This window comes from Homo sapiens, chromosome 20, assembly GCF_000001405.40.
Source record: "Homo sapiens chromosome 20, GRCh38.p14 Primary Assembly".
In the NCBI taxonomy this organism is placed as follows: Eukaryota; Metazoa; Chordata; class Mammalia; order Primates; family Hominidae; genus Homo; species Homo sapiens.
In genome coordinates this window covers 44,052,437-44,068,587 of record NC_000020.11, presented here as the reverse complement: position 1 = coordinate 44,068,587, position 16,151 = coordinate 44,052,437, and the positions used below count along the sequence as shown (strand labels likewise).

Here is a 16,151-nt window from a genome sequence, read left to right as displayed (position 1 = left end):
GGACCCCTGCACTGTACGCCCCACCCCCACCCCTGGATTCAGCTGCCCCTCTGTGGCTGAATGAGGGACTTGCATCTGCAAGTCCCACCCCCACCCACCTCTACACCAAGCAGAACCAAACCCCTCCCGGAAACCCAGCAGGGGACCACCCGGTCCTCAGCTCTGGGTGAAAGGGCAGTAGCGTGTCTGTCTTTCATCGAGGCGCACGCCGATGTCACCATTGCTCTCACATGGGTTTTTAATCACAGGAATTTGTAAATCTCAAACTGAATTAAGGGAGGACAGGTGCTTTTTATGTTTTTAAAATACGGCCCTGCTGGGGTCTGACCTCCATGCTGGATGTGATGGGCAAGCCTCAGGAGGCTTGGACATTGTGTGACACTCCCCTACATACCCTAAGTATTCTGACTTTTGAGAAGGAAACTTAGGGACAGGAAAGGGCTGGGGTAGGAGGGTCTGCACCTGCTTGGGGTGCAGGGAAGGGATTCTTGCTGAGCTGAGTCCACCCACCCATGTAGAATCTCACTTCAGGCATGTCAGAAATGGGGCATGCGCGCTGGTCACTTGTTCAGTGTCCAAGGGCGCTGGTGGGTCAGCAGAGGAACCAGCCGTGTGCTGGGAGGCCGAGGCTAGGGCTGGGGGCAGCGTTTCTCAGCAGCAAGGTGGCCACCCGACAAGTGCGCTGTGCCTTCCAGGTTGTGGCGCTATCGCTGGGACAGCTGCTTGGCACTACGTCCCCCAGGTGTGGCTGCGGGACTCATTTTTGCCAAGGGAATGGGAACCTGGCTGGCGGGTTAAGGAGCAAGTGTCCCTCCTCACTGCACTCTCCCTCTCCTGCTGGCTGCGGTTGTTGAAAGGTCACTCTTCCCCAGAGTTGGGGTGGCGTGGATCCAGGAAGACTTTCTAGAGGGAGGTGTTAGCATGGGTTTGAAAGGTGGAGTGCAGGATAGGAACAGAGGCCTGAGACAGGAGGCCCACAGGAGGACTAGGGAGGACACTGGGGTGCAGGGAGAAGGGGTCTCTAAGGTGTCTGTAATTCCTTGGGATAGACAGTGGGTCCCTTCTCCCACCGTGTCCCACCGAGGTCCCCTGTCCTGCATTCTTAGCTGTTCTAGTCTTGGGAGCTGCCCTGCCCAGTGGGCTACACTCACCCCGGGGCAGCCCACAGCCAAGGGCTGACTGATGAAGGGTTCAAAAAGCCAGTTCCCTGACCTCCAGGTGGGAGCCACTCTAGCACCGTTCATGCTCCAGGGCTCCCATGGGATGAGGCAGAAGCAAGTCTTCAGCTGAGGCCACATCCCCCCTCAGCTCCTTCCCCCACCCTGTCCTGCCTCCCTCACCCCCTTCTCCTGCAAGCTTTCCCCAGTGCATCCCCAAAGGCACCCAATCCCTGCTGCCTCAGGCTCTGCTTCTAGGGAACTGGCCTAAGATGCAGGACTCATCTGTGAATGTCACGTGGAAGCACTTGTGAAAAAAACAGGAGCAAGGAAGAAGCAGCAAGACTGAAGACTAGTCAGTTTCCCAAGCAGGCCTCAGCATCAGGCCAGCAGAGTCCTTCCGGGGCCTGGCTCTGCGGTGTCATCTGAGATATCGATCCCCTCAGCAGGGCTGACAGTGACTGCAGGGTCCTCCCCTGTCCACGTTGCCCTTGGCCATTCTCCCATCCCTGGCCATCCTGTTCCCACTCTCCCTGGCTGGCAGGACAAAGGCAGGGACGGGCGAGGACTAACCTGCAGGTGCTGATGCCACACTCCCCACTGGGGTAGCTGCTGTCCCAGTCCCCGCTGCTGGTGGGGTTGGATGGGCCAGGTGAGCAGGATCCCGAGCTGCTGGGGAACTCAGAGATGTGCGGGAAGTCCTACAGAGTGGGAAGGAGGAGGCCATGAGCCAAGGAGAGATGAGGGGGCAGACTGTCCCAGGCCTCCCGGGGTGAGAGCCCATGTGTCCAAGGGTGTCCACACCAAAGAGATGCTGCCTCCAGGGCTGCTGCCTTGCTCCCAGTAGAGCACCTTTCAAAATGTTCAACCCTTGTCTTGGCTGAATCAGGGGCTGAAGGACTTGGCTTTCAGGGCCTTTCCCTTTCTGGGCCTCAGTTTCTCGATCTGTAAAATGGAATTACTGAACCCAATGACCTCTAAGGGCCATGTGAACCTCGTAGCAATCTCTGTGGAACAATTAGCGGGGGTAAGGTCTCGAAGGCTTTGGGAAGGGCCAGGGCTAGGGCTGAGGATGCAGGAAGGGGGGACTGGAGTATCCTAAGAGTCAGTCTGGCAACTCGTGAACTGTTCACTGCAGCCAGCACATCTCAGGTAAGGTGTGCGAGACCCACTTCCTAGATGTGGTAACTGAGGCTCAGAGAGGTCAGGTGCCAAGGCTGAGGTTATATCACTGGTGAGTGGCAGGGCCAGGGTTTGAAAGGGCAAAGCCGCTTCCCCTCCCCACACGGTCACAGAAGGGCTGTTCTGCTCTTCCCTGCTTACCTGTGGCCCTGGAGGTGAGGGGCTCATCGCCAGCTGCACCTGGAGTGCCATGGGGGTGGGCAGGACAGGGGGCTGGGGGGCTGGGGACATGCTAACAGGTGGACTGAGGAGGGCGCCCTGGGCGTGAGGGGGCAGTGACAGCTGCTGGTGCAGTGTGGGGCTGAGCGGGAAGGAGGGTGGCGGCGGCGGGGACGCACTGAGGCCTGGCAGCAGAGACTTGGAGCCCAGCGTCCGGGCGAGGCTGGCAGGGGAGGCCCCACTGCGGAAGGCCTGCAGGTCCGACGGCGTCAGGAAGGAGGCCAGGCCTGGCATGGCATACATGGGCTGCTTGGGTGGGAGCATTTTGGCTGGTGGGTTTGCCTGAGTGCTCTTGGTCTCACCTTGATCTGGGGAGCTCTGGAAGGAGACAGATATCAGTCACTGGAGAACAGAAGAGGGATGAGCCAGAACATGGGCTGTGAGGCCAGGAGGCTCTGCAACCCACTGACACGGCTGCTGGCTGGCTGTCTTGGGAGAGAGCTTGGACTAACCAGAGATAGCACAGGGTCCTTAGTCCCCTTGGCTCTGACCATCCAGTCACCTACTGCTTTTATCTTTGGGGGGCTCCCCTGCCCTTGGGGGAATCCATGCTCCTCAGCCTGGCCAGTGAGACAAGCACCATCCCACTGAGCCAGCTCTAATCATGCTCCTTCCAACCTCTGTGCCTTTGTAGATGTTTTTCCCTTGACTTTGAACCACCTTTTACTTGGCCTGTTATAGACCAGTTTGGATGCCATCTCTTCTGTACCAGGAACAACACCCACCTCCACTTGGGCCACGCATCCGCAGCCACACTTAGCTTCCTACGTTGCTGGTGTTGACAGAGGAGGCCGACGGTGTGGTGAGGAGGTGCCATATTTTGGGGTAGCGTGTCCCAAGCCCCATCAGCGGTCAGAAGTGAAGGCCACATAAAACTGGCAAAACTGGGTTTGAATCCTAGTGCGGCCACTTTAACAAACTGGATCTTTTCAGGCAAGTTGCTCAACCCCTCTGGGTGCTGGGTTCTTGTTGGAAGAAGCCAATGAAATGCATGTAAAGTGCCCAGAATGAGCCTGGCATGCTGTAGGTGCCCTGCAGACATGACCATGTAGGTCTGAGCCATTCTTTCTAAGACCTGGGGTGCCGGCCCTTCCCACGGGCCCCAGTTCTTGCTCCATTCCTCAAGTGGCCCCACTCTGATCAGGGCTGTGCCTGGAGATTCCGGGTGTTACCTTGGAGACGAGGCTAGCCCGGTAGGCTGCCAGGGCCTTCAGATATTCCTTCTTTGCTGCTTCTGTCTTCCTCTTGTAGGCCTGGAAGAGTCAACACATGAGCAACACTGGGGAGAAAGTTACAGAGGAGATGCCGTGCAGGGTCCTGGGGTGGGAAGGCATGGATTCAAGGATCACGAATGGACGAGGGTGGTGGGGTCAGAAGCTGAGTCAGCCAGCCACTGGCCCCTTTCTGGGAGCGCTGCAGAGAAATTGTGGAGACCAGGCCATATCCCAGTTCCTCAGCCAAGTCACTGTGTGGCCTTGGCCAACATGCTTCATCTCTCTGGGCCTCCAGGTTCTATCAGCACAACTGATCACAGAAAGACAATGCCCTTTGAAGCCCCCATTCTGAGCCAGCACAGTGCAGATTTCTTAATGCCGAACCACCTTCGCAACCTAGAATGAACCTACTTGTTCATAGTATGTTAGTTTGGATTCGGTTTGCTAATATTTTTTATTAAAAATTTTAGACCTAGGTTCATATGTTATTGTAGGACTGGTCCCAGTTTGTTCGCACCTCCTTGTTTCCATGGCTTTTGGTAGAAACGAGGAGGTGCAAATGACTTGGAGCTTAGCCTTGTGTGACTTGTGTTGGCCAATAAGACAAGCACAAATGTGATGCATGCAGAGACTGACAAAGTGATCACATATTGGTGAGCCCTCTTGCTACTCTTGGAACTCTTATTTAAAAATTTTTTTTGTATATGAATAAGTTCTTTAATGGTGATTTCTGAGATGTTGGTGAACCTACCACCTGAGCAGTGTACACTGTACCTGATGATAGTCTTTTATCCTTCACTACCATCCTTTTCCCCAAGTCCCCAAAGTCCATTGTATCATTCTTATGCCTTTGTGTCCTCATAGCTTAGTTCCCACTTATGAGAACATACAATGTTTGGTTTTCCATTCCTGAGTTACTTCACTTAGAATAATTGTCTCCAATTCCATCCAGGTTGCTGCAAATGCCATTATTTCCTTCCTTTTTATGGCTGAGTAGTATTTCATGGTGTTTGTGTGTGTGTGTGTGTACATATATATGTATATGTGTGTGTGTGTACATATATATGTGTGTATATATATGTAGCACATTTTCTTTACTCATTGATTGATGGGCATTTGGGCTGGTTCCATATTTTTGCAATTGCAAATTGGGCTGCTACAAACATGTGCAAGTATCTTTTTTGTAAAATTTCTTCTCCTCTGGGTGGATACCAAGCAGTGGGATTGCTGGGTCAAACAGTAGATCTACTTTTAGTTCTTTGGGGAATTTCCACACTGTTTTTCACAGTGGATGTACTAGTTTATATTCCCACCAACAGTGTAAAAGTGTTCCCTTTTTGCCACATCCATGCCAACATCTATTTTTTGATTATGGACATTCTTGCAGGAGTAAGGTGGTTTTGATTTGCATTTCCCTGATCATAATGATGTTAAGTATTTTTTAATATGTTTGTTGGCCATTTGTATATTTTCTTTTGAGAATTCTCTATTCATCTCCTTAGCCCAATTTTTGATGGGATTGTTTTTTTCTTGCTGATTTGAGTTCCTTTGTAGATTCTGGATATTAGTCCTTTGTCGAAAGTATAGATTGTGAAGATTTTCTCCCACTCTGTGGGTTGTCTGTTTACCCTGCTGGTTCTTTTGCTGTGCAGCTTTTTAGTTTAATTAAGTCCCATCTATTTACCTTTGTTTTTGTTGCATTTGCTTTTGGGTTCTTGGTCATGAAGTCTTTGCCTAAGCCAATGTCTGTGGAAGGGTTTTTCCAGTGTTATCTTCTAGAATTTTTAGGGTTTCAGGTCTTAGATTTAAGTCTTCCATCCATTTTGAGTTGATTTTTGTATAAGGTGAGAGATGAGGATCCAGTTTCACTCTTCTACATGTGGCTTGCCAATTATCCAAGCACCATTTGTTGAATAAGGTGTCCTTTCCCCACTTCATGTTATTGTTTGCTTTGTTAAAGATCAGTTGGTTGTAAGGATTTGGCTTTATATCTGGGTTCTCTAATCTTTTCCATGGTCTATATGCCTATTTTTATACCAGTACCATGCTGTTTTGGTGACTATGGCCATATAGTTTGAAGTCGGGTAATGTGATGCCTCCAGATTTGTTCTTTTTGCTTAGTCATGCTTTGGCTATGAGGGCTCTTTTTTGATTCCACATGAATTTTAGGATTGTTTTTTCTAGTTCTGTGAAGAATGTTGGTGGTGTTTTGATGGGAATTGCATTTAATTTATAGATTGCTTTTGGCAGTATGGTCATTTTCACACTATTGATTCTACCCATCCATGAGCATGGGATGTGTTTCCATTTGTTTCATCTACGATTTCTTTCAGCAGTGTTTTGTAGTTTTCCTTGTAGAGGTCTTCCACCTCCTTGGTTAGGTATATTCCTAAGTATTTTATTTATTCATTTATTTATTTATTTATTTATTTATTTATTTATTTATTTTGCAGTTAAAGGGGGTTGAGTTCTTGATGTGATTCTCAGCTTGGTCACTGTTGGTGTATAGCAGATCTATTGATTTGTGTACATTAATTTTGTATCTTGAAACTTTGCTGAATTCATTTACCAGTTCTAGGAGCTTTTTGGATGAGTCTTTAGGGTTTTCTAGGTATATGATAATCCCATCAGCAAACAGTGACAGTTTGACTTCCTCTTTACTGATTTGGTGCCCTTTATTTCTTTCTCTTGTCTGATTGCTCTGGCCAGGACTTCCAGTACTGCATCGAATAAATGGGCATCCTTGTCTTGTTCTAGTTCTCAGGGGGAATGCTTTCAACTTTTCCCCATTCAGTGTAATGTTGGCTCTGGATTTATCATAGATGGCTTTTATTACCTTAAGGTATGTCCCTTCTATGCCGATTTTGCTGAGGGTTTTAATCAAAGGGATGCTCAATTTTGTCAAATGCTTTTTCTGTGTCTATTGAGATGATCATGTGGTTTTAAATTCTGTTTATGTGGTATATCACATTTATTGACTCGTGTATGTTAAACCATCCCTGCATCCATGGTATGAAACCCACTTGATCATGGTGGATTATCTTTCTGATACAACATTGGATTCAGTTAGCTAGTATTGTACTGAGGATTTTTGCATTCATGTTCATCTAGGTATACAATCATATCATCAGCAAACAGCAACACTTTGACTTCCTCTTTACAGATTTGGATGCTCTTTCTTTCTCTTGTCTGATTGCTCTGGCTAGGAATTCCAGTACTCTGTTGAATAGAAGTGGTAAGAGTGGGCATCCTTGTCTTGTTCCAGTTCTCAAGGGGAATGCTTTCAATTTTTCCCCATTCACTATAATGTTGGCTCTGGTTTATCATAGATGGCTTTTATTACCTTGAAGTATATCCCTTCTATGCTGATTTTGGGCATAGAAGGAATACTGGCCTGCAGTTTTCGTTTTTTTGTTGTTGTTATGTCCTTTCCTGGTTTGGGTATTAGGGTGATTGACTGGCTTCATAGAATAATTTAGGAAGGATTCCCTCTTTATTTTGTGGAATAGTGTCCTTTAAAAGTCTGATAGAATTCAGCTCTGAATCTATCTGGTCCTGGCCTTTTTTTGTTGGTAACTTTTTAATTACCATTTCAATCTCACTGCTTGTTATTGGTCTGGTTTAATCTAGGAGGGTTGTATATTTCCAGGAATTTATCCATCTCCTCTAGGTTTTCTAGTTTATGTACATAAAGGTGTTCATAGTAGTCTTAAATGATCTTTTGTATTTCTGTGGTATCGGTTGTAATATCTCATGTTTTGTTTCTAATTGAGCTTATTTGGATCTTCTCTCTTCTTTTCTTGGTTAATCTCACTAATGGTCTATCAGTTTTATTTATCTTTTCAAAGAACCAGCTTTTTGTTTATCTTTTGTATTTTTTGGTTTCAATTTCATTTAGTTCTGCTCTGATCTTGGTCATTTTTTTCTTCTGCTGCGTTTGAGTTTGGTGTGTTCTCTCTCTTTAGTTCCTTGAGGCGTGACCTTACATTGTCTATTTGTGCTCTTTCAGACTTTTTGATGTAGGCATTTAATGCTATGACCTTTCCTCTTAGCACCACTTTTGCTGTATCCTAGAGGTTTTGATAGGTTATGTCACTATTATCGTTCAGTTCAAATAATTTTATAATATCCATCTTGATTTCATTGTTGACCCAACAATCATTCAGGAGCAGGTTATTTAACTATTTCCATATATTTGCATTGTTTTGAGGGTTCCTTTTGGAGTTGATTTCCAGTTTTATTCCACTATGTTCTGAGAGAGTACTTGATATAATTTCTATTATTTTCTTAAATTTGTTGAGACTTGTTTTATGGCCTATTGTATGGTCTATCTTGGAGAACGTTCCATGTGCTGATGAACAGAATGTATATTCTGCAGTTGTTGGGTAGAATGTTCTATAAATATCTGTTAAGTCCATTTGTTGCAGGGTAAGTTTAAGTTCATTGTTTCTTTGTTGACTTTGTCTTGATGACCTGTCTAGTGCTGTCAGTGGAGTATTGAAGTTTCCCGCTATTGTTGTTTTACTGTCTATCTTTCTCATTTCTTAGGTCTAGTAGTAATTATTTTTTTAAATTTGGGAGCTCCAATGTTAGATGCATATAAATTTAGGATCGTGATATTTTCCTGTTGGACTAGTTTTATTATATAATGTCCCTCTTTGTCTTTTTCAACTGCCGTTGCTTTAAAGTTTGTTTGGTCTGATATAAGAATAGCTATTCCTGCTCACTTTTGGTATCCATTTGCATGGAGTATCTTTTTCCACCCCTTTACCTAAAGGTTATGTGTGTCCTTATGTGTCAGGTGAGTCTCTTGAAGACAGCAGATACTCAGTTGGTCAATTATTCATTCTGCCATTCTGTATTTTTAAGTGGAGCATTTAGGCCATTTACATTCAGTGCTAGTATTGAGATGTGAGGTACTATTCTATTCGTTGTGCTATTTGTTGCCCAAATACCTTGTGGTTTTTAAAAAATTGTGTTATTATTTTAGAGGTCCTGTGAGATTTATGCTTTAAGGAGATTCCATTTTTGTGTATTTCAAAAATTTGTTTCAAGATTGAGCTCCTTTTAGTAGTTCTTGCAGTGCTGGCTTGGCAGTGGCAAATTCTCTCAGCATTGCTTTGAAAAAAAGAACTGTAATGAAGCTTAGTTTTGCTGGATACAAAATTCTTGGCTAATCGTTTAAGGAGGCTAAAAATAGGACCCCAATCCCTTCTAGCTTGTAGGGTTTCTGCTAAGAAATCTGCTGTTAATCTGAAAGGTTTTCCTTTCCTTCTTTTTGTGACAAATTTCCCAGGTGTTCTTTGAACTTCTTGTATTTGGATGTCTAGATCTCTAGCAAGGCCAGGGAAGTTTTCCTCAATTATTCCCTCAAATATATTTTCCAAACTTTTAGATTTCTCTTCTTCCTCAGGAACACCAGTGATTCTTAGATTTGGTCATTTAACATAATCCCAAACTTCTTGGAGGCTTTGTTCATTTGTTAAAATTTTTTGTCTCTGTTGAATTGGGTTAATTTGAAAGCCTTGTCTTTGAGCTCTGAAGTTCTTTCTTCTACTTGTTCAATTCAGTTGCTGAGACTTCCCAGTGTATTTTGCATTTCTCTAAGTGTGTCCTTCATTTCCAGAAGTTGTGATTGTTTTTATTTATGCTATTTCACTGGAGATTTTTCCATTCATATGCTGTATAATTCTTTTTATTTTAAGTTGGACTTCACCTTTCTCTGGTGCCTCCTTGATTAGCTTAACAATCAACCTTCTGAATTCTTTTTCTGGCAATTCAGAGATTTTGTCTTGGTTTGGATCCATTGCTGTTGAGCTAGTGTTATCTTTTGGGGGTGTTAAATAACCTCGTTTTGTCATATTACCAGAATTATTTTTCTGGTTCCTTCCCATTTGGGTAAACTATGTCAGAGGGAAGATCTGGGACTCAAGGCTGCTATTCAGATTCTCCTGTCCCTTGGGGTTCTCCCCCTTCCCCTAGGGATGTGGTTTCCTGAGAGCCCTGCTGCAGTGATTGTTATTTCTCTTCTGGATCTAGCCACCCAGCGGAGCTACCGGGCTCTGGGCTAGTACTGGGGAGTGTCTGCAAAGAGTCCTGTGATGTGATCTGTCTTCAGGTCTCTCCTCCATGGATATCAACACCTGGTCCAGTGGAAGTAGCAGGGGAGTGAAGTGGACTCCATGAGGGTCCTTGGTTGTATTTTTAAGTGCACTGGTTTTGTGTTGGTTGGCCTCTAGCCAGGAGGTAGCACTTTCTAGAGCACATCAGCTGCAGTAGTATAGGGAGGATACAAGCTTGCCCTAGTGTCAGGTGGTGGGCGGGGCCATGGAGTTCCCAAGAGAGATTATGTCCTTTGTCTTAGGCTAACAGGGCAGGTAGAGAAAGACCATCAGGTAGGGGCAGGGTTAGGTGGGGCTTGCTGCAGATGCTGTGGGGGTTGTGGTTCCCAGAGGGATTATGGCTGACTGCTGCATCACACAGGTTGTCAGGGAAGTGAGGGAAAGCTGGCAGCCACAGGCTGGTCTCACTCCCACCATGCACCCCCAACAGCACCGAGTTTATTTCCAGGCAGCTAGTGAACAGGGCTGAGAACTTGCCCCAGGCTACAGGCCTCCCAGCTGAGAAAGCACGCCAACTCACAATTCCTTGGCTGTCCCAGAGAGCCTGCAGCAGCAATCCACATCCTTCAAAGTGTCTGTGGATTCTTTTGGCTTTCCTAGTATGTTCCTGTGGTAGTTCTTGGAGCAAAAGTTCACAATGTGAGTCTCCGTGCTCTGTCTGTCCGAGTGGGAGCTGCAAGTTAGTCCTGCCTCCTTCCTGCCATTTTTCTGCTCTAAAACTGCTCTTGGAACTCTGACTTGCTATGTGAATAAGCATGAGCTAGTCTGCTGGATGATGAAAGACACATGGCCCAGTTTGGCTCCACTGCTCCAGCTGACAGCCATCCAACTCCCAGAAGCAGAGATGCCTAATTTACTGTAGTTGACCACTGATGCAAATGGGTGAGCCCAGCCAAGAGCAGCAGCAGAACCATCCTGCTGAGCCCAGCACAGTTCATGGACCCTCAGAATCATAAGTTGAATAAATGATTATTGTTTTAAGCCATTAAATTTTGGTATTGTTTATTACACATTCAAAATTAAATGATGCAGTTAGCTTCATTATGTTTTAGTGTCAAGGTTACATTGTATATAAAGACTTGTGAAGGTTTTCTTATTTTTCTAAGTCTTGGAATTATTAGCTCTTTGATGATTTGAAAGAACTTTCCTATCCATCACCTAGGCTTGAAACTTTTGGGGGATAGGCAAGGTTTTTTTATTTCCTATTATTTTCTCACTACCTCTCTTGGTTATTAGTGTATTAATAGTAAAATAGGAATATAAGTCACATTTCTAAATGTGATTTCAAAAACTGACACAAGCTAACATCCAGCCTTATGCTTAATAGTGAAACATGAGAGGTAATGCAAAGTAAGAAGACCACTATCCCCGCCATTGCTGAACATCTCTTTTTTAGAAGTCCTAGTCAACATAACTGGGAAAAGAAAACAGAATTAGAAATCTGAGAAGTGAGGAGACAAAATAAGGAGATATGGCTGGATATAGTGGCTCATGCCTCTAATCCCAGCACTTTGGGAGGCCAAGGTGGGATGATCATTTGAGGCTAAGAGTTTGTCAGCCTGAGCAACACAGCAAGACCCTGTCTCTACAAAATACCAAAAAAAAGAAAAAATTTTGTGGGGCATGGTGATGCATGGCACGCCTGTAGTCCAGCTACTTGGGAAGCTGAGCTGGGAAAATTGCTTGAGCCCAGGAGTTCAAGGCTGCAGTGAGCTATGATCATGCCACTGACCTCTAGCCTGGGTGACAGAGTGACACCCTGTCTCTTAAAAAACAAATAACAAAGGAGACAAAATTATCATTTGTAAAAGATACATATGTATAAATATGTGTATAATTATAGACACTTTTTTTAAACCTAGAAGACTCAGGAATTAAAAATGATCAGAAATGATAAAATAAATAGTAAGCTTGGCAGTTACAAATTAAATTCCTAACTTTTTATACTCAACAATTTGCTAGGAAAATGGGGAGAAACAAGCCATTTATAACGCATTAAGTAAAAGAACGCATTAAGTAAAAGGAGAGAAATGCCCATTATCGGATGGAAATAAATATATGCCAAGTTCTTGGGTTAGAAATAAAACGTCAGACAGGTAAGCAGAAATGAAACCGACACAGGGGCTGGGACTCTCAACCACCTTTGCTTGCCTCTGGGCTGCGCTGAATGAGGTCAGAGAAAGCATCGGTGGAGGGAGTGCCCGGGGACATAGGACTTGAGACCACTGTCTCCCCAGACTGTATAAAACGGCAAGGAAATCCCCCCACCAAACAAAAACAACCTGAAGTCTTTTGAAAGGGAATTGGTTGCCAACGAAACACACAAGTGAAAATGACAGACGTCCCTATAGCAAAAGCCACAGTGCCCTGCCAATATCCCCCAGTCCTTACCCCTGTCCTACAAACATGCTCTACTTCCAGCTGCCACCGGCTATATTCCTTTGCCTGAGGGTCCCTCTGGTGGCAGGAGCCTGGCATGTGTAGCAGGCCAGGGGTGCTGCAGAAGTAATGTCCCCTGGAGCAGCTCTGAAGGAATGCTGGTGTCCACCCCAGCACCCTTGCCCCTCAGACAGGATGACCCTGAGGCCTGGCACGTTCTAAGCAGGCTCCTGAGTTCCCAGCGGGATTGTGCTCCAGTTGCCCATGGTGGATTCTCCTGGGACAATGTGCCCTTTCCTGGCTGCCCTCCTTTCCCTGTCTCATTTCCCCACTCCCCTACCAGAGGTGGGGATCATCTCCCAAATAAACTCTCTGCATTATAACATATTCCAAAATTACCTAAAATTTTAGAATACGGTAAAGATGATGTTTCAAATAAGTCAGTAATTCATCTCTCTGCCCCAAGCCTGCTACTTTCCCCATATTTCCCATCCAGTGACTGGCATCTCCATTTACTCAGAATGGAAGCCAGATGCAAGGAGGCTCCCAGGACATGCTCTGTGTCCCCTACCCTAAACCATTCTGGAAGATGCTCCAGACCCTACCTTCCCCCACCTGGATCACTGTGCACCCTCCACATCCACTCTTACCTGCCTTATGCTGCCGTTCCAGTCTCTCCTCTACATAAAACTCTTCACTGGTTTTCTCTCCTCTTAGAACAGGGCCTGACTACTTCCAAGGTCTGCAAAGCCCAGCGTGGTCTGGCCCCTGCCCTCCTTTCCAGCTCCGTCTCTGCCATGGGTACTCTTATTGTCTCCTCTCTGGCCATCCTGGTCTCCTTTCAGTCCCCTGTGCTTTTCCAGCCTCCTTCCTTACCAGGCCTCCCTGTCTGGAACACTTCCCCTCCTCCAAAGAGAACTCACACTTCAGGTCTCACCTGGTGACCTGACCCCTGGGACAATGTCCGTCCCTGCTCTTTCCACTCTCATGAACTATGTACCCTCCTGGTACACGGCACAATCACAATTGTAATTTTACATTTACTCATCTGCTTATTTGATTCATGTCTCTCATGCCAACAGCCCAGTTGAGCCTCCTGCTTCTACAGATGTGAGTTCAAATCCTGACTCTACCTTGATTCACGCTGGTGACCCTGGGTGAGTCACTTTACCTCTTGGTGTCTCTACCAAACAGGAAAGCAATGGCTACTCCACAGGGTGTTGTAAGGATTCAGTGACATACCGGGGGGAAAGCCCAGCCCAGATGTGAGCTCAGAGAAGGAGTAGCCAGCACCCCTGTTTTAATAGACATGAAAACCGAGGCTCAGAGAGTTTAGGTGGTCAGGCTGAGGTCACACAGCTGGCAACTCCATTTGCCTACCAGCTAGTTCTGCTCTCTATTCTCCCTGGAGGCCTTTAGAGGAGGCCACAGGCACATGGTCAGTGGGATAGGAAGCTCTGGCCTGGACTCCAGACTTTTAGGGTTGGTGGGACAAGATGGATGGAGATGCTTGTTCTCATTTTATCAAGGGGGAAGCAGAGGTTCAGAATGGTTAAGTTGCGGGAAGCAGAGGTTCAGAGTGGTTAAGTTGCTAGTAAATGCAGTTGGTTAGTAGAATTGGAAGGCAGCTAGCTTCCCAGTTTACAGATGGGCAACCTGAGCCCAGGAAAGACCTCTGTAAGAGTCTCTAGTTCCAGAGCTGGGCCTGGTTTCAGACCTTCAAAGTGTGTCCTTGGTTCCAGGACCACAAAGCCTCAGGGGATGGCCCAGAAAGAGAGGGAGGCTCACCTGCTTCTGTTCCTCTCCCAGGCTGTCCCACATGGAGGCCACGATTTTGGACACGTCACCGAAAGTGGCACTGGGGTTCTGACCCTTGATGGCGGCCTGAGTGTCTCTGAAGAAGAGTGCGTAGGCCGACACAGGCTTCTGCGGCTCATTGGGGTCCTTCTTTTTCTTCTTCTTCGGGTTCTTGGCCTTTTTTCCTGGGTCGGCTGAAGGTCTCTTTTCTCCCGAGATCTGCCCGAGTGAGAAGAGTCAGAAAACCAAAGAAGCCCAAGGGCCTCCTGCCAAAGGCGATCAACACAGACTTGGGCCGAGCTGCACTTCTCCAGCCCTGCTCATGCACAGATAACCACTCGCGCGATGGAGGGGGCAATGGACAGACAGACACACACACCCTGGGTGGGTGTTTAACTCATTAAAGAGAATCAGCATGATTGTAAAGTTGATTCAGAGAAATGCAGGAGGAGAAGACGGACTGTATAGTCACTGAAAGAATGGAAAGAATGCTGGAATTAGATTACTAAATTACACGTGAAACTGGTTAGTGCCCAATAGAGCGCTGAAACTATCACCTTTGGGACTTTTAATCTTTTCTACTGGACAGAAATTTGCATCTCTACCGGGCAAAGTTAATTTGCCTTATAATCAGACAAAAATCCCTTACATCTCTTATCACTTCCCCTCCCCCGCCCAAGGTAACATCTTCTTTTACAGAGTTGTGAAATCCCCTAATCAATAGTGAATAATGAATCAAAGCAAAGGTCCAGTTTCCTAGGGAATCAGATAATTATTGAGTGAGCCTGTTAGCCAAGGCTTTGGTATGACATTGAAAGAATGTGCAGTTATTTGGGGGCCTATTTCCAAGTTTGGAGTGTGTGTGCATGTGTGTATATGTGTATATACGTGTGTGTGTGTGTGTATATGTATATATATGTGTGTGTATATATAGTATATATATGTGTGTGTATATATAGTATATATGTATATATATAGTATATATGTATATATATGTGTATATATAGTATATATATGTCTGTATATATATGTGTGTATATATATATGTGTGTGTGTGTGTGTGTGTGTGTGTGTGTGTATATATCTGCCCTCCCACTTGTGAGCACAATCCCCAAAAAGGATCCTGCATTACAAAAGGCTGGTCTCCACCGCCATGTTTCAGCTGTGCAGCTTTGAGCAGGTGGCTTAGTCCCTTGACCCTGTGAAGTGGGGAGGGCACGAGGCTAAAGCGACTGTTACTGCGTCAGCCCTGGAACCAGTGGCTTCACTCTGGACAGACTGCAGGACCATGATCCTGTGAACACTTGACTTAGGGCTTCCAGGATGGGGTGGTGTTGGGATGCCCACCACAGACCTCAGTGGGTCTCTGTTGGGTCACTCAAGCCATGTAGGAACAGGGGACTTTGGTCAAAAGCCCTGGACCCTGTAGTGAAGACTCTGGCTCTAGGAGCCAAGAAGATGGAGGTGACATGTTGACCTGATGACAAAGCCATGGGCCAGTAGGCATGATCAGGCATCCATGTCTGAAGGACATGGTTCTGTTCCTGAGGCTTATCTCTGCAGCTACTCCCTTCTCCAAGCCCCAGTTGTGTTAGCACCGTGGTGTGACCCTAGCAAGATCAGGGATGAAGAGGCATGTTGTCATTGATAAAGTCCTGAACAGGCACAGCAGGGCAGGGGGTTGAGGGCACATACACTGGACTGCACCTGCAGCCTCCTGGGTTTGAATCCTGGTTCCCCCCACTTACTAGCTGTGTGACACCAGATACATTACTTAACCTCTCTGTGCCTCAGTGTCCCCATCTGCCAAACAGAGATAATAACAGTCCCTGCCCTATAGGACTTTTATGAGGATTACATGGACGTATACTTGTTATGTGTTTAGAGCAGTGTCTGGCCCATAGAGAGTGTTTGTTAAATAAAAACCGTTCCTGCATGGACTATAATAGAGGTCGAGTCATCCTTAGGATGAAGCTGGGCCAGGATCCAGAAGTAAACCCCTCTTCCCCCAAAGTCCAGGGTTACTGCCCTAGGCCTCGGGAGGCCACCACGTGGAAAGGACACTGGATCGACAGAGGCAG

General features: G+C 46.2%; 1 protein-coding gene across 12 annotated transcripts in view, besides 2 other annotated features; it reads right to left on the bottom strand.

Moving 5' to 3' along the window:
* The window catches only part of TOX2 (TOX high mobility group box family member 2), a 154,765-nt gene that overhangs the window by 1,029 nt on the left and 137,585 nt on the right, over nucleotides 1-16,151 (bottom strand). For 6 of the 12 annotated variants that reach the window (XM_047440561.1, NM_001098797.2, NM_032883.3 and 3 more), the window contains 4 exons: nucleotides 14,062-14,289; nucleotides 3,731-3,811; nucleotides 2,481-2,876; nucleotides 1,731-1,858 (listed from right to left, as the gene is read on the bottom strand). In XM_047440561.1, the coding sequence (XP_047296517.1) occupies nucleotides 1,731-1,858; nucleotides 2,481-2,876; nucleotides 3,731-3,811; nucleotides 14,062-14,289 (833 nt within the window). Of the gene's footprint in view, nucleotides 1-1,730; nucleotides 1,859-2,480; nucleotides 2,877-3,730; nucleotides 3,812-14,061; nucleotides 14,290-16,151 lie in introns of those variants that run through there. The other 6 variants (XM_047440565.1, XM_017028109.2, XM_047440564.1 and 3 more) reach the window with 4 other exon arrangements.
* Nucleotides 167-683: an enhancer, noted in NCBI's record as "H3K4me1 hESC enhancer chr20:42696545-42697061 (GRCh37/hg19 assembly coordinates)". NCBI's record gives its function as "activates a minimal SCP1, AML or CMV promoter by ChIP-STARR-seq in naive H9 embryonic stem cells {active_cell/tissue: H9 hESC(naive)}" and the evidence as "EXISTENCE:reporter gene assay evidence [ECO:0000049][PMID:30033119]".
* Nucleotides 12,312-12,421: a silencer, noted in NCBI's record as "silent region_12938". NCBI's record gives its function as "represses an Ori minimal core promoter by ATAC-STARR-seq in GM12878 lymphoblastoid cells {active_cell/tissue: GM12878}" and the evidence as "EXISTENCE:reporter gene assay evidence [ECO:0000049][PMID:35858748]".